The sequence below is a fragment of the Homo sapiens genome, chromosome 14, assembly GCF_000001405.40.
Source record: "Homo sapiens chromosome 14, GRCh38.p14 Primary Assembly".
Classification (NCBI taxonomy): domain Eukaryota; kingdom Metazoa; phylum Chordata; class Mammalia; order Primates; family Hominidae; genus Homo; species Homo sapiens.
The window spans coordinates 33,119,645-33,142,471 of NC_000014.9; the positions used below are offsets into that span (position 1 = coordinate 33,119,645).

The following is a 22,827-nucleotide window of genomic DNA, read 5'->3' on the forward strand; positions in this document are numbered from 1 at the left end:
ATCTGTGTCACCGTGCACCAGGAAAATGATGAAAGGAAAACTTGAAATCCAGGTAAAGTTGCTCCCTTAGAAGGAAAGTAAGGCATTCAGAATCAAGATCTATTGTTCACGCCCTACTCCCGCATTACATTTCTGGTAGGTGATGTTGACTGTTTCAGAGAACTATAGAGATGTCATCCTTACGGATGGTTCTGCTCTAGTTAGAGGGTCAATAGATAAAATTTGAAATGATAAACTAAATGAAGACCTTCTGTTTAATGCCATATATTCTTGGCAGTAACCAAGCCATTTAACATTAAAACTGCATTGCTATAGTAGCAGTCATTAAAGATCATCTCTGCTAGGAGCATATACTTTCAGATACTTTGTTTTTTTTTTGAGACAGAGCCTTGCTCTGTCACCCAGGTTGGGTTCAAGTGATTCTCCCTGTCTCAGCCTCCCGACTAGCTGGGATTATAGGCACCCGCCACCAGGCTGGGCTAATTTTTGTATTTTTAGTAGAGATGGGGTTTCACCATCTTGACCAGGCTGGTCTTGACCTCCTGACCTCATGATCCACTCACCTTGGCCTCCCAAAGTGCTGGGATTACAGGCATGAGCCATGGCGCCTGGCCCATACTTTTTATTTCTATCAGAAATGGCCACATAAATCTGAAAATGAACTTTGATACGATTACCGGAACCAACTAGAGATTTTAAATGACAGCTATTGCCAACTTTTGCTTACAAGATGGATACTCTGGCATTGAGGGCACTACATCTGCTATGAGAGGTGACCATAGTCTGTTCTCATTCACTGCAAATGCTTAGCCAGTGTGTCATATCACTTCTTAAGTGGTATTAGACAACAAACATACATGCTTCCTTACACCCATCCAACCAACAGCGATGTTCAAGTGTTCAGTTTTCATTGTGATTTATTGAGAAAGGGCAGCAATATAACTGACTCATAATGACACGCTACTCAAAGTTTGGTCCATGGGCTAATAGCATTGGCATTTCCTGGGAGCTTATTAGAAATGTATAATCTCAGCTCTCCTCCTTCTCAAGAGATACTGAATAAGAATCTGCATTTTGACAAGATGCCCGGATGATTCCTATATCCATTGAATTTGAGAAGCATTGGTTTTTTTAAGGCTATGAGCCTCAAAATTAGAGAGAAAACTACACTAAAGGGGAAGGAGAAGTATGAGTTTATCAGCTATTTTAGGACCTGCTAGTAGCAGGACGCCTTAGCACTATTTTCATTCTTCTTTTGTATTTTTAATTCACATGCGCAAACTCTAGTTCGTAATGGGTCTGTCTTCCATCATTTATCCCTCCTGTTCGGTGATAATTACTGCCAAAATTATCTTTCAGAAATATAGTTCCAGTAGCCACTACATTACTCAGAATGTTTGAATCCCTCTTCCTTTGTCTATTGGCTCAATCTCCCTTTTTGACCTCTTAACAGTCAGTCTTATGCACACTGACCCAAAATCAAGTCTGTCTTATGCACACTGACCCAAAATCATACCAAGTGACTCATCATGCCCTGAGCACATTGTATTCTTTTACAACTTCATGGCCTTGCGATGCTACTTCCTCTTCTGGGAATATCCTTTTATTTTTCACCTGATGACTTTTATTCATACTTGACGAACCAGTTCCTACGTCTTTGAGATAAAACATCCATTTGTAGGCAGACAGAATGAGTTGCCCTCTCCATGGGTTATCTGTAGCATTTAGGCCAACCTCTCACATGGCACTCATGACACTATATTTTGTTTATTTATTTAGGAGTCTGACTCCCCCACTAGACTGATTGCTCCTTGAAGGCATGACTCTTGTTCACTTTACCTGTATAATCCCAGCACCTGGGAAAGTAGTTAGCCTATAGCAGGTGCTTATTGTTTGTTAAATGAATGAGTGCCAGATTGTTTAAAAGGACACCTTTTTAGCAATCAGAACTGCTAGTGAATGGAGACTTCAGAGTAAATCAGTCTCTGTCTCTCTGACATAACTTTTTAAAAAGAAAAATATTGTTCTCTTCTGAGAGAATCATGTCAGATATCCTGGAAATAGAAAGTATAATTGAAAGACACAGAAAGTAGGGTATGAAAAACAAAGTGCCTGAACTGAGAAATTACTGAAGCTTAAATGTTCAATTGGAGAGAAGCTGGTACACCTGAGAAAACTCAGGTGAATTAAAAAATGTATTTCTAAGGATTTGATTATACCTCACGTGGAAATTGTATCTCACTTATTACTGGCAGAGGATCTGATACTCAGATGACAGAAGTTTATCTTTGAAACAACACATAACTTTCCATGAGTACCCTAAAACAGTGTATTTTACTTACAGTGTATTTTCATGTGTACCAATGAAATTACTGTGTTAATGTATCACTGTTAAAATAGAAGAAAAATGAGCACGTTGGATTTTTCTTCAACTGCAAATGGTAGTAGTTTGTATCCAGCTATGATTATTTTCTGTTGGTGTAGATGTTCACTTAGAAACAGCACTGGGCTGTAAAGGGATGCCTTTCTGATTCTGGAGCAGACATGCTCTTGTACATTTACACCCTGTTTGTCTTATCCCTACTGCTGTAGGTTGAATGAATTGTGGAATTTCTAAGTTGTGCTGTGGAAGTGTGAAATGAAAGTTTTGGTATTTCTTCAGTAAAAGTGGGAAATTGGAACTATATAACCATCACCTTTCTCCAGAAGAGGGAAACTTTAGATGGACTTATCAAATCTAATTTGAATAACTAGCAAAAATAAGGCTGGCAATGTCAGGGTTCAGACATTGCCACATAAATCGATGACATTTCAAATTATTCAACTCAAAAACCACTTATTTTTAATTGATTGATATTTTGCCAAACAAAGATCACTAAAATGACTTTGGGGTTTGGTTCTGCTAATACTATTATCAGTGATGTTGAGCAAGTGTTTTAAGGAACCTGTGATCCTTACAGTTCCCACCTTCATGTTGTGATACTCAGGTTCAAACGATCTCAAACTTATTTTTTTACTTCATGCCAGGAAGGGGGCTCAAATGTTTAATTGCCTACAGGTTTCACTCTTAACACAAAGCTTGGTAGGTCTCAAATATCCTACACCTTATAAGAAGACTGAGATGGTTAAGGGGTCAGCAGGAGAAACAGAGACTGAGGGAAAGAAGAAAGAAAATAAAACTTAAGGGGCTACTTTGAGAAAAGTTTTCTTGAAGAAGTCGGTAAGAGATCAACTACAGATTTTTATTGTGGACGTTTTGATTATAAGATCACTAGAATAAAAAGGTTTTCAGTTAAGTCGAAAATAAAACAAAACAACACTTTTAGTCATGAGTGCTTTAGGAGTATTATTTATTTTTAAGGAAATATTTATTAAAAACCTGGGAAATACTGGCCGGACTGTCATTGCTGCACACAACAAAGATATACCTTTTAAACAACATTTTATTTTATTTAGATAAATTAAATAAATTTAGATAATTAAATAATAGTATTTTATGTAGAAGATAAAGAACTATCAGAATTAGTACTGTAAATGGTCCATGATAATGTGCTTCAGCAGTTACTTTAGATTATCATGTTTAGATCATCACGGGAGACATTTGGGGTGTAAATTGGAGTTATGGGGATTTGGGGGACCTACTAGAGACAAAGTGGGGAGCCACTTACCTGCCATTAATAGGGACCAAGGGAGATGCCACAAGAGCACCGTGTCAGGGATTTTGTGGATATTGTTCATTACTTGACTAGGAGTTGGGGTGCTGGTAACACAGGATAATTATTTCAGCTGTCCCATCCTTTCAGTGTTTTATATGCCACCTGGTCCAGGCATGGTGATTAATAAGCATTGCTGAAGTGGGTGGGGGCAGGGAGAAGGAGCAACAACTCAAAACCAAAAGAAGCAGTGGAGAGGGAGGCAGAAGAAACCACTATCTGCCTAGGCCTCTGTAGCAGATAGTCGGGAGGAGAAGCAGAGTTATATGTAATTTCCTGATAATATGTAGGCCCCAAGAAAAAGAAAAACCAAGTAATGCTGGGGAAATAATGGTAAGCTTAAAAACAGATAAGGTAAACACCAAACTAAAGGAGAGAGATTAACAGGTAAGTATATTCAGCTGTTGAGTTTCTTTTTTGGCAGCCTTAAAATCAATTAGTGTCAATGAGTTGAATTCCATAGGCTGGCAGTGTTTTCTGTGAAGTTTTTTCTTTCTTTCTTTCTTTTTTTTTTTTTTTTTTGAGACAAGGTCTCACTCTGTCCCTGAGACTGGAGTGCAGTGGTGGGATCATAGCTCACTGCAATCTCCACTTCTGGGCTCAGGTTGTTCTCGTGCCTCAGCCTCCTGAGTAGCTGGGCCTATAGGTGCTTGCCACCATGCCTGGCTTATTTTTTTGTAGAGACAGGGTCTTGCCATGTTGCCCTGGCTGGTCTTGAATTCCTGGGCTCAAGAGATCCATCTGCCTCGGCCTACCAAAGTGCTAAGATTACAGGTGTGAGCCACTGTGCCCAGCCTCTATGAAGTTTTATAGAGGAAAGATTGTGTACATTTCTTTGGGAAACTAGACTGCTTTTTTAAACCATTATCCCCCCAATAACATCAGAGTAGATGCTTGGAGTGAAAAGATTTTCTTCTGGTACATGGGATGAGAAAGGGTGAGTTGTCTTTTCCTCTGCATTGTAGAGGCAGCGTAGCATAACAGGTAAGGGAAGGCAGAGACTCGGAAGCCGGACCACTTATATCCAAATTGTGACTGTCTTTAGTTAGCAAGTTACACCATCACTCTGTGTCTTTGTTTCCTCCTCTGTAAAATGAGGATAATGCTACTGCTCTCTAAAGGGTTGTAAGGATTAAATTCAATATCATGTAGAGCAGATATCACATTAGAACAATATTTGGCATGTCAGTACTAGATATTTTTATTGCTAAGAAATAAGGACTGAAAGAGGCATGTTAATGGATAAGAAATATAGAGAAACATGAGATTGATACATGTATCCTCAACAAAAATGAAAGCTATCTGAAGACTAATGTTGGGAGAAAACCTTAACTCAGGAGAGGAAATAGATGAGAATATTTCAAAGCAGAATATTTAAATAAGAGGGCAAGACACTGTCTTTTAAGCAGACTTTATAATTGAGTATAAAATAAGAAAGATGTTTAAACATAGTGATCAATTTTGGAAAGGAAAAGGTGTTACAAGAAGAAAAGGGCAATGATAAATTGCATAATATAAAGAAGTGAAGGTACCATTAGCTTTTAGGATTCATGGCAAGGAAGATGCCTTAGGAAGCTATTAGGAGGCATTCAAAGTACATTTGGAATAGATGTAGTTCAAGAGCCTGGAGAACTACCTATAGGAAAACATTGACAGGATGATAGGAAAGAAGAAAGTACTTAAAGGATGGAGAAAAAGAAATATGTGTTCTTTTTCCCACTAAAATATATTAGCTGCTTGAGTGCAGGGACTTTTATCTTCTTCTTTGACTTCTCAGTGCCCAGACTTTTGCTTGGCATGTAATGGGTGCATTACATTATTTAATGAATTCATGAATGAAGGAAATTAATGGATTAATGAAGGAATTAAGTTTATTAATAATTTTTATAAGCACTAGAAGGAAGTAGGTCATATATGAGATATGATTTAACTCTGAAGTGTAACGGAATTTATTTATGGGCAATAGAAAAGAGTGAAATTTATCTTCAGGGTACAGAATTAGAAAATCCAGGAGTCGAGGAAATGATGGGAGATATTTTCTCAGAATTACTCAGATAAAATTATGGAACAAAAAATGAGATTTTTTTTTCCTGACAATTCAGTTCAGGTGTTAAGGATATAGAGGCAACAGTGGCTGATAGAAGTGTGATCAATCTGTGAGCAAAGGCAGAGTATTTGCATGAGGACGTTACTCACCTCTGAACTTTATCGAGAACTGATGATTCCATAGAAATCCTTTTAAGAAGTTCCCGATGTGTTTTTCTTTAAATGAGAATGGACAAAAGCCTGTGAAACATGGCTCAGCTGCTTCCTGTTTCATATATGAAAGGCCCTGGACATGGTCAAACCCAGGGTATAAAATATTTGTGGGACTATTATGGGAACAACTAGAAGTAGGAGTTAGAAGAAAGAAACAAAAATCTTTAAACCATACATGTTAGGAAAGAGGATCAAACTTATTACTTACTTAAAAATAGTAATGTTTTAGATAGACTAGTTACTTTTCATAAAGAAAACATGTTAAATAGCATAAAGGAATTTTTAAGGTAATATTAATACAGATTATTTCCAATTTGGGTAATATGCTTTATAAGGGCTTTGAACACAAATGGCAGTTGATGTTTCTAGTGAATTAGGAAAAGGTAAAGGTCACAAGAAGAGCCGCCATTTAGCCTTCAGCTGTGTGAATGGGCCATAGATACCTCACGAGAAATTAACTGGCAACTTTAAGAGCCCCATAGCATGCTAGTTTTCAAACTGCAGTCCTCTCTACTGGTGGTGCATTGTTCAGTTTTAAAAATTAATCGACTTTTCAGTTTTATATTTTTCCTAATAGCTTTTCTTTTCTTTGATATCAACCACTACTTATCTACTTGCAAGTGGCAATAGAGGACAGAAAGACTAAACAGTAAGTGGTAAACTGCATGCATTCTTTCATTCAGTTGATAGATGGTGTCTACTGCCTGCTGGACAGGCTACCACAGAACAAAATGGATGCCGTTCCTGTGTTCTAAACTTAGTGTAGCAGAGGTCTTACAGCTTTCTTGCACTGGGAAATTTCCTAGAAATGTTGAAAATGTAGATCCCCAGATATTACTCTGAGATGGTTTCTGTTAGCTGTGTGTGCAGGGCTGGGGATGGGAGATTGTGGAGGTGCCTAATCCAGGCGGGTGGGTGGGGAGAGCTGACCACAGAAGGATTTCCCAGAGCAAGAGGCATGAACATGGAGAAGTGATGGATGGGAAGGGCTTGGCCAGGATGAAAGGGTTTGGATGGTGTAAGGTAATGAAGAGAGGGTGGCAGACTGTTCTAGACAGAGGGAGAACAAGTGGAAAGACTGTGGCAGCTCATGCCCTTGTTCTACTTGGTAGGTTCCTCTGTCACTTAATATTGTAACAAGCATGTACAGAACACCTCCTGCAAGCCAGACTCCACTTACCACTCATGTTGAGATTTGTTCCCAACCTCAGAGAAGTTCGTGGTTGGGCACATATACCTAAACATGTGGCTTAAGTGATTTAAAATAGTGAAATGCTTGTTGATTACAAAAATACATGTAACACATGTAAGCTGTAAGAAATAAAATATATATCTCTCACTTCACCGCTCAATTTAAAAAACTAGAACTGTAGTAGTATTATTGAAGCTACCTGAATTTCCTAATTCCATCTCCACTGCCCTGGCTCTCCAACTGAGAGATCTTGATTTTTTTCATTTATTGTTCCCTGCTTTTGAAAAAAAAAAACTCTAAATAAATGTTTTGGGGCATATTCTTTGGGACTTCCTTTATACACATTACATCCTCTGTAAATGGCAGTTTGGTTTTTGCCACCGTTGTCTTGTTTCTGATTTTAAATGAGATTTTTCTGATATTCAGCCACCAAGCTTTGCTGTAGTTTTTTCATGGACATTTCTTATCTAGTGAAGGACCTCCCTTTTTTGAGTATGCTATGAAGTGTTTGGTTTTTTAATTATGAGTTTGTGTAGAATTTGGCCAGATGATTTTTCTGCATATATTGAGAATATGTCCTTATTTTACCTTTAATCTTTTGATGTGGTAAATTACACTTAATGATGTTTGTAGTGTTGCATTTCCGGCATAAAACCAACTTGGCCACGCTGTGTCTCTTGTGTTAGTTTGGGCTGTGTCTCTACTTGTGTTACTTTGGGCTTCTTCCTCCAAACAAGCCATGCTGCAAAAAGGATAATAGTTTATCCCTGCTCCCTTATAGAAGGAGGTTCAGATCCTGCATTTTACGGACTTGGGTCTTACTGTCCTAGAAAGCTGGCAGGTACTGAGCACAAAAGCAAACATTGAGAAGTTAGAAAGTTTCTGGAGTTCTCATTGTATTGGTTTCTAGTTCTTTACTCTTTTTAGAGGAGAAAATAGATAATCCCATGGCTTTGGAGGATGTGACTCACCTTCCTGAATCCTTACTCTGTGAATAAACACTCTTCTGAATTCAGTAAAATACATTTCCCTTTCCTCCCTTCATGATAGATCCACTTGATACAAAATCTCAAAAGAATAAATAGGCAATTTGCATCACTAAGACTTATTAAGGGAGGCATAGATTTATAAATTTCTTCCTGGACAAGGAAATATTTGGCCTCGACTTGTGTTCACTCAGTAATTATGATGGGATTCTACCCTTGTTAATAATAGAGAAATGGTAAAATTTTATTTTCTTTCAATTCTCTGAGAAATGTACAAAGCTGTCACAGCTTAATGTCAGCCATAAAAATTCTGGAGTAATTAAAATGCAAAAAAGCTGTAAAAATTAGTGAACCTCACTTAAATCCCAGTGGTACTGTTTTTGGTGGAAGGTTTAGGACATCTAAAACAATGGAAGAACGAATAAAAGCAAAGACAAAACAGATAATAAGTAATCAAATTGGTTTATGTACTTTAAAAAATGTGTATTGCATCTGTCTACCAATAAATGTATGTAGGATCTGTGTGGAAAAATATTTTTTTCTCAATCAACAATATAAGTTAAACTACATTGGAGGAAACTGGAAGAGATTTTTCTGTTCTTATATACCAGAAATTTGTTATCTTAAATATTGTTTGAAATAGGGTGTTATGAATGAGTTAGAAGCATGTGTTGTATAAAGATACCAATTTTATGACTAAAATACTATTCGAACAGAATAAGATACTTCAAAGAAAATTATGTGAAATTATGACTTTTGTGCTATATTTTTATAAAAGTAGTGAGTGGCTGGACTAATATTTACCTGTTTAAAAAACTTCATTGTATTCCATACCCAGTGAGTGGTAGATGAGTTTTTGATCACTGTATTTCCACAGCTAAATGGTGCCGAGCCAGTATTGTATACTCAATACATATTTGAAATGAACCAATGAATGAATGAATTGAATACATTGTGTTGCTTCTCACAGATGTGTTTATGAGGTAATGTTACCTTGTCTCTGGTGTTACTTTTACACATAATGCCCTTTCCAACCAGAGAAGTAGGTGATACTTACATCTTAGACAAAGTATCGTATCAGAAATGGCTTCATGAGTGTTTTCATCAAAACTGGAAAATGGTTAGCCATCATCCTCCATATGCTCTTTTCATATACTGACAATCTCTTTTTGTCACTTTTGACCTCATTCCAACTAATTTCAGTCCCATTACGAATTTTCCACAGGATTTTTTTCCAGGTTTTTGTAACCTGGAGAAAAGCCCCACAGCAGAAACCAGGGGCCAAGATTTCCAGTCTCTCTTCTGCAGAGGACTCCCTGGATGTGGTGGTGGAAAAGTTACTGCAGCTCTGGGCTCCACTCACTGATTGAAACAAATAATCTGTAGCGTGCTTCTCATTTTAGAATTCTGTGAGTCTAAGAGTAAGAAATTTATTAATGTATCTCTTTTCTAACAAATAATGAAAATAGGGCATTAAGGGAAAGAGAGAAATAACTATGGGGTTTATCAACCATTGTCAGTGTATGAAAAAGCCATCTGGACAATGATAGCTAAGCACTTTCAGAGACTTCTCTAACACATGTGAATATTGATAGCATATCCAAAAACTGCGGTGGTTTTCTGAATTAAAGAAGCTCCATTTTCATCACTGGTTGAAGGTGCCTGTTCCTCATAAGTAGATCTTTTTTGTCATTTTTATACTCACTGAAACATTAAAGCGTGCTATTAAGTTTATGTGCTTGTAAAGAAATGTCTGTTATTGAAAAATTCCTGTGTCAGTTGCCAAGGATAGTTTGTATCTTCCACACATTTTAGTCTATTTGGTTGTTCCCAATTGTAGTAGTTTTAGAATCCAACACAGTTATGGCAGTAGTGAATAACTAGTACATTTTGGGCAGAGCAAGCACATTCATAATAGGAGATGTAGAAGTGAGTATGTATAAAGGATCCCATGTTCAGAGGTAGAAGATTTTATCTTTAAAAAGTAAAGATATTAGTTACTTTGTTTGCTATAATAATATATGAATGACTAGCTTGGCAAAAAGAGAATTTGCGATAATTTTCAAAGATATTTTAAAGATTTGACTGGGTGTTTTTAACTCCTTGAACTGAGATCAATATATTTTACTCACAGTTTCATGATTAAGCAACAGATCATACCATCTGTGTTTAGCATGGCTCCCTAATAGTGTGTAACATGTAGTTTTGTCACTTTTAATTTAGGATGTTATTTTTTCCCTAAATGACAGAAGTGCTACTGTTTGCTAAGCAGTCTGTATGTGTTAACGTTTTTTCTGGTATAGCAATTATAACTGATAAGGTATCCATAATTCATTTAATGCAGTTTCTTAAATGGCCAATTCCTTCTTTATGCGTACGGCAGACCATAATGGAGGATTTGTTTTACTTCTGTTTAATGGAAATAATTTCCTTTTCAGTTGACTGTCCTCTTAAATCTCCTTAAAAATAAGTTACTCTCCCCCCTTATTTAGTCTCATTTGTAGACTTAGACCCACTGTCTCAGCAGTAATGGAACTATCCTTAGAGCCAGGCAGAATTTGCCAACACAAGTGAAGATGTTGAGAAAGCGAATGAAGGTGAAGAGGAATAGTCTTTGAATTGCAAGATTATTTTTCCTTTCCCTGAATGTGAAATAAATATGTGATTGCATAAATTAAGTAAAATTAAGCATGATTAATCATTGTTATTTCTATGACATCTGAGATTCCTTTGAAATCAATGATACTTTATGGAAATATCACCATTCTAATTTTGTAATCACATTGTATGTTTTGGAATCTTTATGCTGTTTGTGCAAAAAGGGCAAAATAACTTTTATAACAAGTGAATGGGGGAAATGCAATTATTTTCTTATGCTTTTAGGAGGAGCTGGCTTCCTAGTCAATTTAGAAAAAAGTTTCTGAGTTGATGCCATATTTTGCTTATATTGTATTTTTATTCAGGTTCTTCATTTTGTAACAAGCTAAATGCAGAAATAGAACCTCAGTATTAATAAACATCATTCTTCACATCCACTCTTGACACAGCATCTCTCTCTTCCTGAAATTCCTATAGAAGTGTGCATGATGATTTGAAGCTTGTGTTATAAGAAACCTTCAATTTTTCAGCCAGGACAGGCTTTCACTTCCAGAAGGGACAACGGAAGCCTCAGAGATGGGTATTTATTCTACTCTTAAAGATATACAGAGAAGTTTCAAACCATCCATGCTCACCATTCAGCTGGGCTTTATTATCTGGCCCAAGTACCTCTTATGAGAGTTCCCTTGTTGTCCTCTACTTGTCAGTACACATTTGGAGCAAGTCTACATACCAGGTTCTGTGGGAGTTTACAGAGTAAGTAACAAAGACACTTTTTTCCTCAAGGAAAAACTAGTTTTTAGTCTCTCTTGTGTAGTAAAATTTTATATGCTGAAACAGTCATTAGGTCATCTACTTGTAATTAGACCACTTTGTCTTCTGGACAAAATAATCTAAATATTAGCTTTATTCTAGATTTATTGATAATCCTTTAAACATTTGGCTTAAATGACCCCATTTGATATTCTCCAAGTTCTCCAGCTCTCTCTCAAGTTCAGTCCAATTGAGTTACACCCAGCCATGTGTTCATCTGACTTCCACGTGGTTAAGCAGATTTTTATAAATTCTGATTAACAAAACGCCCAGCTGAGGTTACATCCTTTATTTTACATGTACAGTATTTAATATAAGTAATAAATGTTGGGGTTTGTGTATCTGCCTCTCTCCAGATACATTTGTAGAGAGAAACAGCTATTAGTTTATAGTCCCTTTTTTGTCATCTAATAATCCTAGTAATTATAGAAAATACGGCAAACTCATCCTAGCCCTGCTGCTCGTATGTGTGCATGTTTGCGTGTGCATGCCCACACAGAGGAATGTAAGTTAGTCTGCCAATATTTGATAAATGCCTATTATGGGCATGATTAACACAAAATCTCTGGCTTAGTTGGTAAGGAAGGGGTGTTAAAAAGGGCCACAATAAACTGTGTTATGCACTGAGGAGTAAACTGGGAACGTAATCTTTGAGCCGAAGCTTGCAGGATCAATTATACTTTATCTGATAGAGAAAGTGGGACAAGTCATGTGGAGAGCTGGTTCTTTAGGAAAATTATAATTGGTGGCAAATGTCAACTGTGTCTGGAGATGGGGCTGAACAGGTGATTGAGAAGGGCTGTCCTTAGGAGCTGAAACCACAGAGAAGAAAGAGCCATTATTTAAGTGGTTCATGTATTCATTTAAACTGTAAACAATGTAGCAATTGGATTGGAAGCTGGTGGGAAAGGGAGTCTGGGAAGCAGATATGGAGGTTACCTTGGTGGTCCAGGTAACTTGCATGAAGACCTTGGATTAGGCAATGGAAGTGGAGATGAAAGGAGGTGTGTGGACTCCAAATGCTTGGTGACTAGTTTAATGTGGGCAATAAAAGAGGCTAAAGTTGAGTGCCTCTGGTTGTTCTAGCTTGGGCTTCTGAGTGCTGAAGAGACAAACTTAGGGAGGCAAGGGTAGTGAGGCAGAGCGAAGGGAATGAGTATCCAGATGATTTTGGATTTTCGAGTTGTCTGTGTACTTGTAGGAAGAGACTAGAAGTCTTATATTTTAAACCATACATACCTGTTCACTTAATGAGAAAATAATGAGACTACAAGTTTGGTCTTGAGCTCAGAAGAGAGGTTAGAGATGGAAATTGAGATTGATGGCTGAAATCATCAAGAGGCACCAAGTGCTGTGGGACTATAAGCACGTAGATGGATCCCTCAGGAGTGAGGGATGGTGAGAAGACGGGAAGTTCAAGTGTGAGGGGAAAGAGCCTTAGAAACCAAGGAAACATGTTCATGAAGGCAAGTACAGTTGATAGTAAATGTCTTGTGCCACAGAAATGGAAAATTGACAAGATGATTGGATACCTTAATTAGGACAATTTGACTGAATCATCAGTGTTCAAAGCCAGATGGTAGTGACTTTAGAAGCAAATTGGGGACAGGGAAATAACTAATATTTACTGATACCTGTTATGCTGCATACATTTTATTAGATACTTCTTGGTTTTCCTGTTTAATTCTCATATGAACCATGTGAAGTGGGTATTTTGCACATAAGAAATTGAGTCTTAAGTGTTTGTCCAAACTGCACAACTAATATCATAGTACCAAAGTTTAATTTCCAGTTATTACTCTTAAATTAATTGGTCTATGACTGTGATTAGATAGGTGGGATTATTATTTGTTAATAAAGTACATATGACTTATGAAAGAAGACTTCTATCTGTATTCTGTCCAGTAGTAACACAAAAATTCCCACTCCAGTGTTACTCATGTTATCATCATATAATTGGTAGCAACATAGCAGTAAGCCAACAAATATATAATAAATTGTATTATAGGCACCAAGAATCAGAATCTCTTATGAAGGCAAGGATATGCACACATACACTACATAAAAACACAAGAGGGGCTTTATCTTAAGGCACATCTGACAGTTATGAAGGGATTTAGGCACTATATGAGACATGAAACTTGATAAATAAAATATTTTATTCAGAAGATATTAGCAAGGCTTTTCCCTTTTTAAATGTACATCACTGAGTCGTTAGGACCGGTCAGAATTTGGCAGCATTCTGTTCATAGTCATAAGTGTGTAAGAAGGCATTGGTTAAGCCAACTACTGTAACTTCCCAACTAAACTCTAATAATTGCTATCTAATGAATGTGTAAGTGCCAGTCAATGACTAATAATAAAATAATTAACAGTCACTGGTAAAATAACATTATGACTGCAATAGTAAATAGTAAGAAAGGGCATTTATACCTATTGTAAACTTGTCCGTAGTTTGTAGAAAAGGTGACAAGGGCTGAGCATTTAATCAGACTATGCAAATAATAGAAAAGTGGAAGCTTTTGTAAGAATGTAGTTTCTATCTTATGTGGCCTTTTTTCCTAGAGGTTTACAAGCTTTAAAGCTGCTTCTTGGTGACATGATATAGTGTCCAAGGAAGGGGAGAAGCCACGGGCATTCCAGATGATTCTAGTCCATCAAAGAAAATTTCTTGGATTGTGGTCCAAAAGCTGTAGAAAACAAGTTGTACATTAGGTGAAGGCATTAGGGATCATTACAGAAATATATAGCAATAACTTCAAATAGAAAAATTAAAGGAATTTGCAACTGAGGGGCTAGCACATGGTAAAGTTCGCTTTCTATAAGAAAATGAGGGGATTCCTCTCTTTTGGAAATTCATTGATAAACTACACTTCTTTTTCTACCTACAAAATGCAAATTGACTGCTATTTGGAATCTGACAAGTGAATTTACACTTACATATCAAATCTTTTAGGAATTTTTGGGTGATTTTCTTCTTGGGAATTTAGGATGGACAGTTGAACTTTTTTTTTTTTCCTTTTTCTTTGATGAGATTCTAGTCATGTTTTAGTTTATATCATAGCAAAGAGGTTTTAAATGACCTCTTTATGAATGCAGTTGCTACTGCTTCCATTCGCATTTCCCTTGATCTCAGCATGGCTTTTGACACTGTCAACGGCGCTATCATTTCAGAGTGCTTGAGGGAATTTTCATCCTTAAACACTCAATTTTACATCAAAATAACACTTGAAAAGCACAGTTTTGTAGGCAAATACTTTATCTAAATGGTTTTTTCACGGATACTGAAAATTCTACTTAGTTAAAACAACAGCATATAGAGGTCTCATTATTTTAATTTAGCTTTGGAGAGATTTTCCATTTTATCCAGCCACCAGGAGCTGTTTTAAAGATGCTTTGCCTGTGGTCTGTTTGGTTTTCCATCAGCATAGGTGGCTTCATGTAAGAGTAGTCACCTCTGCCTACTGAAGTGGGCAACAAGATGGACCCATGAAGCTTTGTTTTGAATTAGAAGTTACTGTTTAGCTGTGGTGTATTGCTGGTATGAAATTAGTGATTTCTGTACCTAATACCCTATTACTGCATTTACCTGTTAGATCTTTATATGGATAATGACATTTTGAAACTTTCTCCTAGTGAATGTGCTTAAAGACTGATTTTTTTTTTCTCATAATATGCTGGTTAAAGGAGAGGCATTCACAGGTATAGTCTGGCTTTCAGCTGTAGGGCACCCCAACTTTTAGTTTCAGTGTTACTTCACAAATAGAGCTCTTACTCCAAGATTATTGGTTATAAAGCTAGTGCCAGCTTTTGTGCTTTCATTGCATATTATGTCTCGCCAATTATTAAGACTTATAAATGTCACTTGAAAAATATAACTATCCTTACTCTTCATGTAATCCTGTCTATTGTGAAAGTCTGAAATTCACTTTTGGTTTCTGGACTCCACAGCTATTTTACTCAGTTGGCTGTATGCCAGCAACCCTTTTCTAAGCAATCCCTGAAGTTATAGGGACAAGTAAAAGTGAGGAGAACTTACTCGTAAATTCGGACAAACCAATGTTGACCTTTCAGCAAATGAAGAGATGATGGTTGTGGTAGCTGGTAAGGTAGGGATTCAGAGTGGATTTCCTGACTTAATGTTGAAATGTGTTTCTTCTTGGCCACTATACTGTTTGGAACTCATCACTACAGGTTTAAATTAGAGAACTATATGTTTTCAGTAATGGGAAAGAAATTTTTATTAAAAATAAGACATTCAATGCATTTTACCATAAAATAGTTTAAGTTTATTAATCATTGCTGTGCAAAAATTGCATATTTCTTTGTCATAAGAGAATTCCAACATTTTATAATAAGTCAAAAAAGCTGAGCAGCTTTTTGCAATTCTGATTATGAAAAGCAATTGTGATTATTTTGGATTTGGGTCATTGATTACAAATATAGCAGTCTGAATTTTTCAGTGGGGGTTAAAAAAAACAATTTCCCTCTTGACTCTTTTGGATTTCTGAAGAAGAAAAAAGGGAAGGAAAAGACCAAAAGAAACAATAAAATACTAGCATTGGAGTGGGTCGGGGTAAATAATTTTAAAATGAATGAGCTCAGCCAGTTCCAGCAGCCAATGCTCCGTTGAAAAGAAATGATTGGTAGTCCATCTCCTTAGATTCTGAACAGAAGTGGAGGACACTTTTTACAGTGAAATAGACCTCATGTAATTGGAATGGATCCAAAATGGTTTTCCACTGGACACAATAGGTTGTCTTATGTAATAAAAGCAGCACAAGTAGACATGGTGTAAGTGGACCTAAAAGCTCTGAGCTGTGGCCATTCATGTGCAATAACTACCTTTTTTCTTTTTTTTTTTTTTTTTTTTGAGACAGAGTCTCGCTCTGTTACTCAGGCTGGAGTGTGGTAGCGCGATCTTGGCTCACTGCAACCTCCGCCTCCCAGGTTTAAGCAATTCTCCTGCCTCAGCCTCCTGAGAACCTGGGACTACAGGCGCACACCACCACGCCCAGCTAATTTTTATATTTTTAGTAGAGACAGGGTTTCACCATGTTGGCCAGGCTGGTCTCAATCTCCTGACCTCGTGATCCGCCCACCTTAGCCTCCCAAAGTGCTGCGATTACAGGTGTGAGCCACTGCGCCTGGCCAAATAAATACCTTTTTAAAATGAAAAGTTCTTCGGTTCTGAAAAAACACAAAACGACAACCATGTCCATGATAACCTTTAACACATTGATAATGCAGGCTATGAGCAGTTCTATATAGTTTTCTGGAATTTAGGACTGCAGTAATAATGACAGTAACTCAGTTTTAATGAGATAAGTGGTAGGATCACCATTTTACAACTGAAGAAACTGAGACCCTGGGGTGGTGAAACTCACCCCAAGTTGTATAGCTAGTCAACAGCAGACCTGAGATTGGAACCAGTGAGCCTTATTTCAAAGTCTGTGCCTTGCAGCTTACTTTCTCCAATTGTCACACAACCTCTTACATCTCAGGCACTTCTTGATGTGGGTACTTGAAAGATTTAGTTTTTAGCTATTGCCTTTGCAATACAACAGCAATGGCCTTTGCATCTGGGATTATATACTTCGTGTATCTGTTACAAAGATGATGGGAGCAATTTACCAATACCGCTTTTTCCTGATCTATGGAAGAAGGCAGTTTTAATTCATTGATTTAACTTTGTTGTAATATGCTCCCGAAGGACCAGGCTTAAATTTATAGAAATTTCACTTTATTTTTCTTCGTGGCCATTGATTAAAATTGAGATGAATGAATATGCCAAAACTTCTTGGCTTTTTCTGTTCTGTTGAAAAATTTAAGAAGTAATGGAAGCCCAGTGTAATCAATGCAAAAAAAGAATAAATTGTTGAATATTATGAAGAATTATTTGCTAGAAGAATGCAAGAGAAAATTCAACTGTATAGATGCTAAAGTAGCACATTATGTATAAAATGTGACTGAAATAAGAAACATAATTGAATTAACATGAGGACATTAAGTGATAAAATGAATGTTTTTAGTGACTAAGGGTGAGTAGTTGGACTATTATAGTGAAAATCTCCATCAAGGCATCTGAGATATTTAAGACTTAAATGTGACTTTGATGTAGCCTCTGGCAACATCTGAGGAGTTTCAAGACAAAACTGAATCATTTACATGGCATCTTATTACTAAATAAGATTGTTTGATTCACCATCAACTAAGATTATTATTATTTTCTTGAAGCAAGCAATCCACCAGGAATTGTAATGTATCTGTTGGATTTTAAAAGGCCATTATAATTGGTACTATTTTAATTGAAGTACAAATTTCAAAGTCAATATATGTGTGAGTACAAATGGGTACATATACACATCAACCAGATTTTTGCTGTTTGTGTCTTCAGCTAATATCAAGATTAGTGGAAATTGTAACAATGAGCAAAGCCTAGTATACGTTACATAAGAATTAAGCCAGGATTTATAATATTTATAATACTGTCAGTAATTTCTGGAGTTAATTTAAATTTAACATCTCAAGAATGGCCCAGTATCTTTGTCGTGTTAGTTGGAAACATGAAAATATATGTGTTTCTAGAGCTATTTGGCTAACATTTATAATATGAATCCCAAGTTTGGGAAATCTGTTAATCTAGATTTAAATATGGAATTCTGTTGTGAAATAGACTAGAGATTCTCAATAGTTTTTGGGGAGAAAGGGAGGTACAACTTTCTGAACAGAATTATCTGGTAGGTGTGGAGGGTTTTTAAAATACAAGCTCTCCTGCTTTTCCCAAAAATGAGGGATGGTGTAACATCTTTCTCATCTTGTGGAGAATTGGACATAATCTATCACTTTTTTTTTTTTTTAATTATACTTTAAGTTTTAGGATACATGTGTACAATGTGCAGGTTAGTTACATATGTATACATTTGCCATGTTGGTGTGCTGAACCCAGTAACTCGTCATTTAACATTAGGTATATCTCCAAATGCTATCCCTCCCCCCTCCCCCCACCTCACAACAGGCCCCGGTGTGTGATGTTCCCCTTCCTGAGTCTATCACTTTCTTGATGGGAGTTTGTAATATCTTCAGGGTTTTGGTAATCAGTGAATAAGACTGACACATTTAAATCATCTTTTACTATAAGTGCCTATCACAGGTCATTAAATATAGTAGTCATACAGTAATTATTACTTGAATACATATAAAGCTATAAGCTAAGCATAAAACTTGTAAAGGATTGGTTTAATTCTTCTTTGAGGTTAGAAAACATACTTGAAAAGATTCATTGGTTCAATGAATTAAGGATGGAAAAAAAGTACATCCATGCCCCAGCATCATGCTCAGTCAACTGTGATTCCATTGTGCTTTCTCTCTGGTCCAGAGAGATACAAAACATCTATGTGTTTATGTATAAATAGAGTCTTCCAACAATTTTTTCCATCAATTCCAAATCTAAGGAAATAAAATGGTGTCTAAGGAAGAGGGAATGAGACAGGGTTCCAGTGATCTCATGTGTGCTGTAAACATAAAATGCTGGAATGAATGTGTGAAAATTTATATGAAATTCTGCAGTTAGACATAAAAACAACGGGGCTTCTTTGAGTGATAGGGTTATATACTTGACATGCAATGGAACCTGACTTCAAGGTACTTGGACAGTATTTTCTTAGAATATATTCTGTCGTGACAAGGAAAGAAAGAGGAAGAACTGGATGCATGATTAAATACTGCTTTATCATTAAAAGTTAGTTCTGGAGGATATACTCCATTTGGTAAGTGGAATATATTCAGTAAAGCTATAGCTGGCAAAAGTTTCTTCATGATAGAGATTTTCTCTTCTCTTGACTTCCTATGGGATTATTATGACTTACTCCCAGTGGTTGGGAACTTAAAATTGGGTGTCTGTCTAGATGAGTAATATTCTGTTTAGTACATCAGAACAGTCTTTTAATTACCTCCAGTGAGGATCACAAATGGCTTGTCAAGCATATAAAATCAGATAAAACTGAGCATCCAACTATAGGATTTTGAGACTGTTCACATGTTACCATCAGTTGCCCTTTCTGCCGCCCAGCTAGCATCTATGTGCACATTGGCTTCCTCCCATTGCACCAAAACCCATACCATTCAATCAGTTTTTCCTGGATTGGGCTTTTTATTCACTACATTGTTACTTCCAAAATTACAAATAGTGGTATAAGAATTAAATGGTTTTCTTCACATTATTAATTTTAACTTGCCAACAGGAGAGGTGGGAATCTTATATCATTGGAGTGTATTGGTGGTTGGGTGAATTGAGAAGATGTGGACGGGGTGGAGGATGTGGTTTCTTAAATTATTTTTAAGCCCTGAGTATGTTGGCATATTAAAGAATTGTATTCCTCAGACTTTCTCCTCCTGACAATTTGTTTCATATTGTGCTTCTGTTCTGAATACAAGCTCCATACAATACTGCACAGTCCAGAATGGTAGCCATTAGCCCTATGTGGCTCTTTAAATTTTAATTAGTAACATGAAATAAAAATATGTTTCCTCAGTTGCACTAGCCTCATTTCAAGTGCTTATTGGCCACATGGGGCTAGTGGCTACTGTAATAAACAGTGCAGATCGTAGAACACTTCCATTATCACAGAAAGTTCTACTGGACAGAACTGATTGAATGTAGTCTCAGATTTCCACGTGCTTTCCCTGTCTACTTCCACTTCTTGGCCTTCCAGTCCTATAATATTCTGCCTGCATGATTTTTTTTTTCAAGAGAAAGAGTTGCTGAATTTAAGGGATTTTCATTTTTTACGCTACTTTGCATGTTGTTTGCTGTCAGTGCTCCTTCTTAATAATTATAGTAGTACTCCCTTATTCTGAATATATATTAAAACATTTTTCGGTAGGCCTATGATGAAGTGTACTTTCACCACTCCTCTTTGGTGGTGTGGTTCAGTACCTTGGTTTTAATTCATAGAAACACCACTGCTGCACAGTAAATTACATTGAAATAAGTGTGGCATATCTTGACATAAATATCCCACGAAAATGAGGAAAAACAAGTTTGACACTCAGGTGGCTAATACATCACTCAGATATTAGGAAATGGATTGCACTCTTGTTGACAGAAAGTAAGGGGATAGAAGATGATTTCAGTAATATGTAAGTAGGGAAAAGAACACAGAAAAAAACAGTCACTATTTTGAGCTCATTTTGCTGTTTTTAGGGGTGAAAATGTAGAACATCAGCAGGTGACCATTGTGTAAGTGGGTTATCCTTTCCCGTTACTCACTGGCCAGTGTGTCTTATTTCTTTCTAGAAGTGTTGGTGTTGGCAGTATTTATCTCTGTTCTTCTGTGAATTCTCTCATTTGCATTGAATGTATTTATTAAATCATGCATGCTTCACCGTGTCATTTCCCTTTCATACTTCAGTTTTGTTTTGCTTTTCCCATCGATGCAGGATTATAATTCTTAGCTCTCAAGTGCATTCAATATTCAATAGAGAAGAATCACTAAAAAATGGTCTTTAAAAAAAGTATCAGAAATTCCTCCTTTTCTTGCTGTAGAACAGCAGAGAAAATAGCAAAAGGTATAGCAAAAGATGAGAAGTGTTATGGGAGGGAGAAGAAAGGTCAAGAAAGCTATCAGGACTGGCTGCATTTGGAAGTGAATGATGGAATTAAGAAAGCCTATTGACTATGGCCAAACATAATGGGGAAATCCTAAAGCTGCTTGGTATCAGTCCATCAATTCAAAAAGCAATCTGTATGTTTGCCTCTTCTTTGCTTTTGGACAAACAATGGCGGAGCATCAGGGCAGCCTCCCAGGAGAAGTAATTTCTCAACAGTTTGTTGTATGTGGGATGCCATCATAGTTTAATCATATTGATACCAAAACTGTACAATGGAATGCATTGTGAGACAGTGATTGGCACCTGCAGTCACTTAGTATTTTGTCAAGAATTTGACATGCCAATGAATTGCGAGAGCAATGTATGCTTGCTTGAAATTGATCATGAAGCACCTCATGTTAAGCATCTTGATGTTTTCGGCTAATGTAGGTCATTGCTGGGCTTTATAGCTTTCACTCCTGCTTCAGTTTTGTTACTAAGGGGGAAATGATGATGGGTGTGAGCTATTGAAAACATTTCACAGCAGACTACTACTTTTTAGAATGGACTCCAAAGTGAATTGGCACGCTGGCCTCCATTTATTTAATGACTTCCTCCATGATTATCAAAATAAAATGAGCCTACTATGGAGAATTTTAAAAGTACAGACAAATATAAAGATGAAAATAGATAATTCTATGAATCACAGTAGCTACTGTTTAGAATTTGGAGCTATTTCTATACAGTTTTTCAAAATTAAGTATGCTTTGGTAAACTGATTTTTAAAAATTACTTTGCTAGCGTGTCTCATATCATTAAATATTTTAAAACATTTTAAGAGTATACAATACATATATGGATATACTATAATCCTCTATGATTAGATATTTAGATGGTTTCTTATGTGTTTGATATTATAAATATACTCGTGATGCACATCTTTGCGTACATTTTGTATGAATGTTTACATTCCTTGAGATTGTGATATGAGAATAGAATTGGGATGAAGGATGTACAGCTGAAGGCTGTATACGATCTGATACGTATCGATAGATAGCTTTCCAGCAAGTATGCCATCGCATTTCCAGCAGTGTGTGAGGATGACATCATTTCGCCACACCTTTGTCAACACCAGTGGAATTTTTAGGACATTTCTTAATTTGATAGTAAAAATTAGTATTCCATTGAAAATCACTTAATATTAAACAATTTATTTATTTTTATCACTTATTTCTTTTGCCATTCAATGGGCTCTACCTATTTTTCTGTTAGAACTTTAGTGATTTTAATTAATTGCTGTGAACTGGTTATTAAGGCTGTAACATTTTTAGCCTTAGTACTTTGTACAATTTTACTTCTGCTCCTAATTTTTATTTTATTTTAATTTGTATAAGCTTTTTTTTTTTTTTTTTTTTTTTACTAAAATCTGTCACCTCTTCCTTCTGGGATTTTTTTTCAGTACTTTTACACTTAAAAAGGAATACTTCCCTATCCAAACAACACAAGACATACACTAACATTTTTTAGCCTTAACTGCTATAGTGCTGAAGTTATGTTGACATCTAATAAATGTGGTTCTGATGCTAGCTCTTAGTACAGTATGTGGCATATAGTGGGTTCTAAAAGGATAACTGAACATACTGAATGATTTCATGCCCTATACTAGGATCCAGGC

The 22,827-nt window shown here is 36.4% G+C and overlaps 1 protein-coding gene across 17 annotated transcripts in view, besides 1 other annotated feature; it reads left to right on the forward strand.

The window, feature by feature from the left end:
- NPAS3 (neuronal PAS domain protein 3) overlaps positions 1–22,827 on the forward strand; it is an 869,389-nt gene that overhangs the window by 184,860 nt on the left and 661,702 nt on the right. The window lies entirely within an intron of this gene.
- Positions 14,439–15,016: an enhancer, noted in NCBI's record as "OCT4-NANOG hESC enhancer chr14:33603289-33603866 (GRCh37/hg19 assembly coordinates)". NCBI's record gives its function as "activates a minimal SCP1, AML or CMV promoter by ChIP-STARR-seq in primed H9 embryonic stem cells {active_cell/tissue: H9 hESC(primed)}" and the evidence as "EXISTENCE:reporter gene assay evidence [ECO:0000049][PMID:30033119]".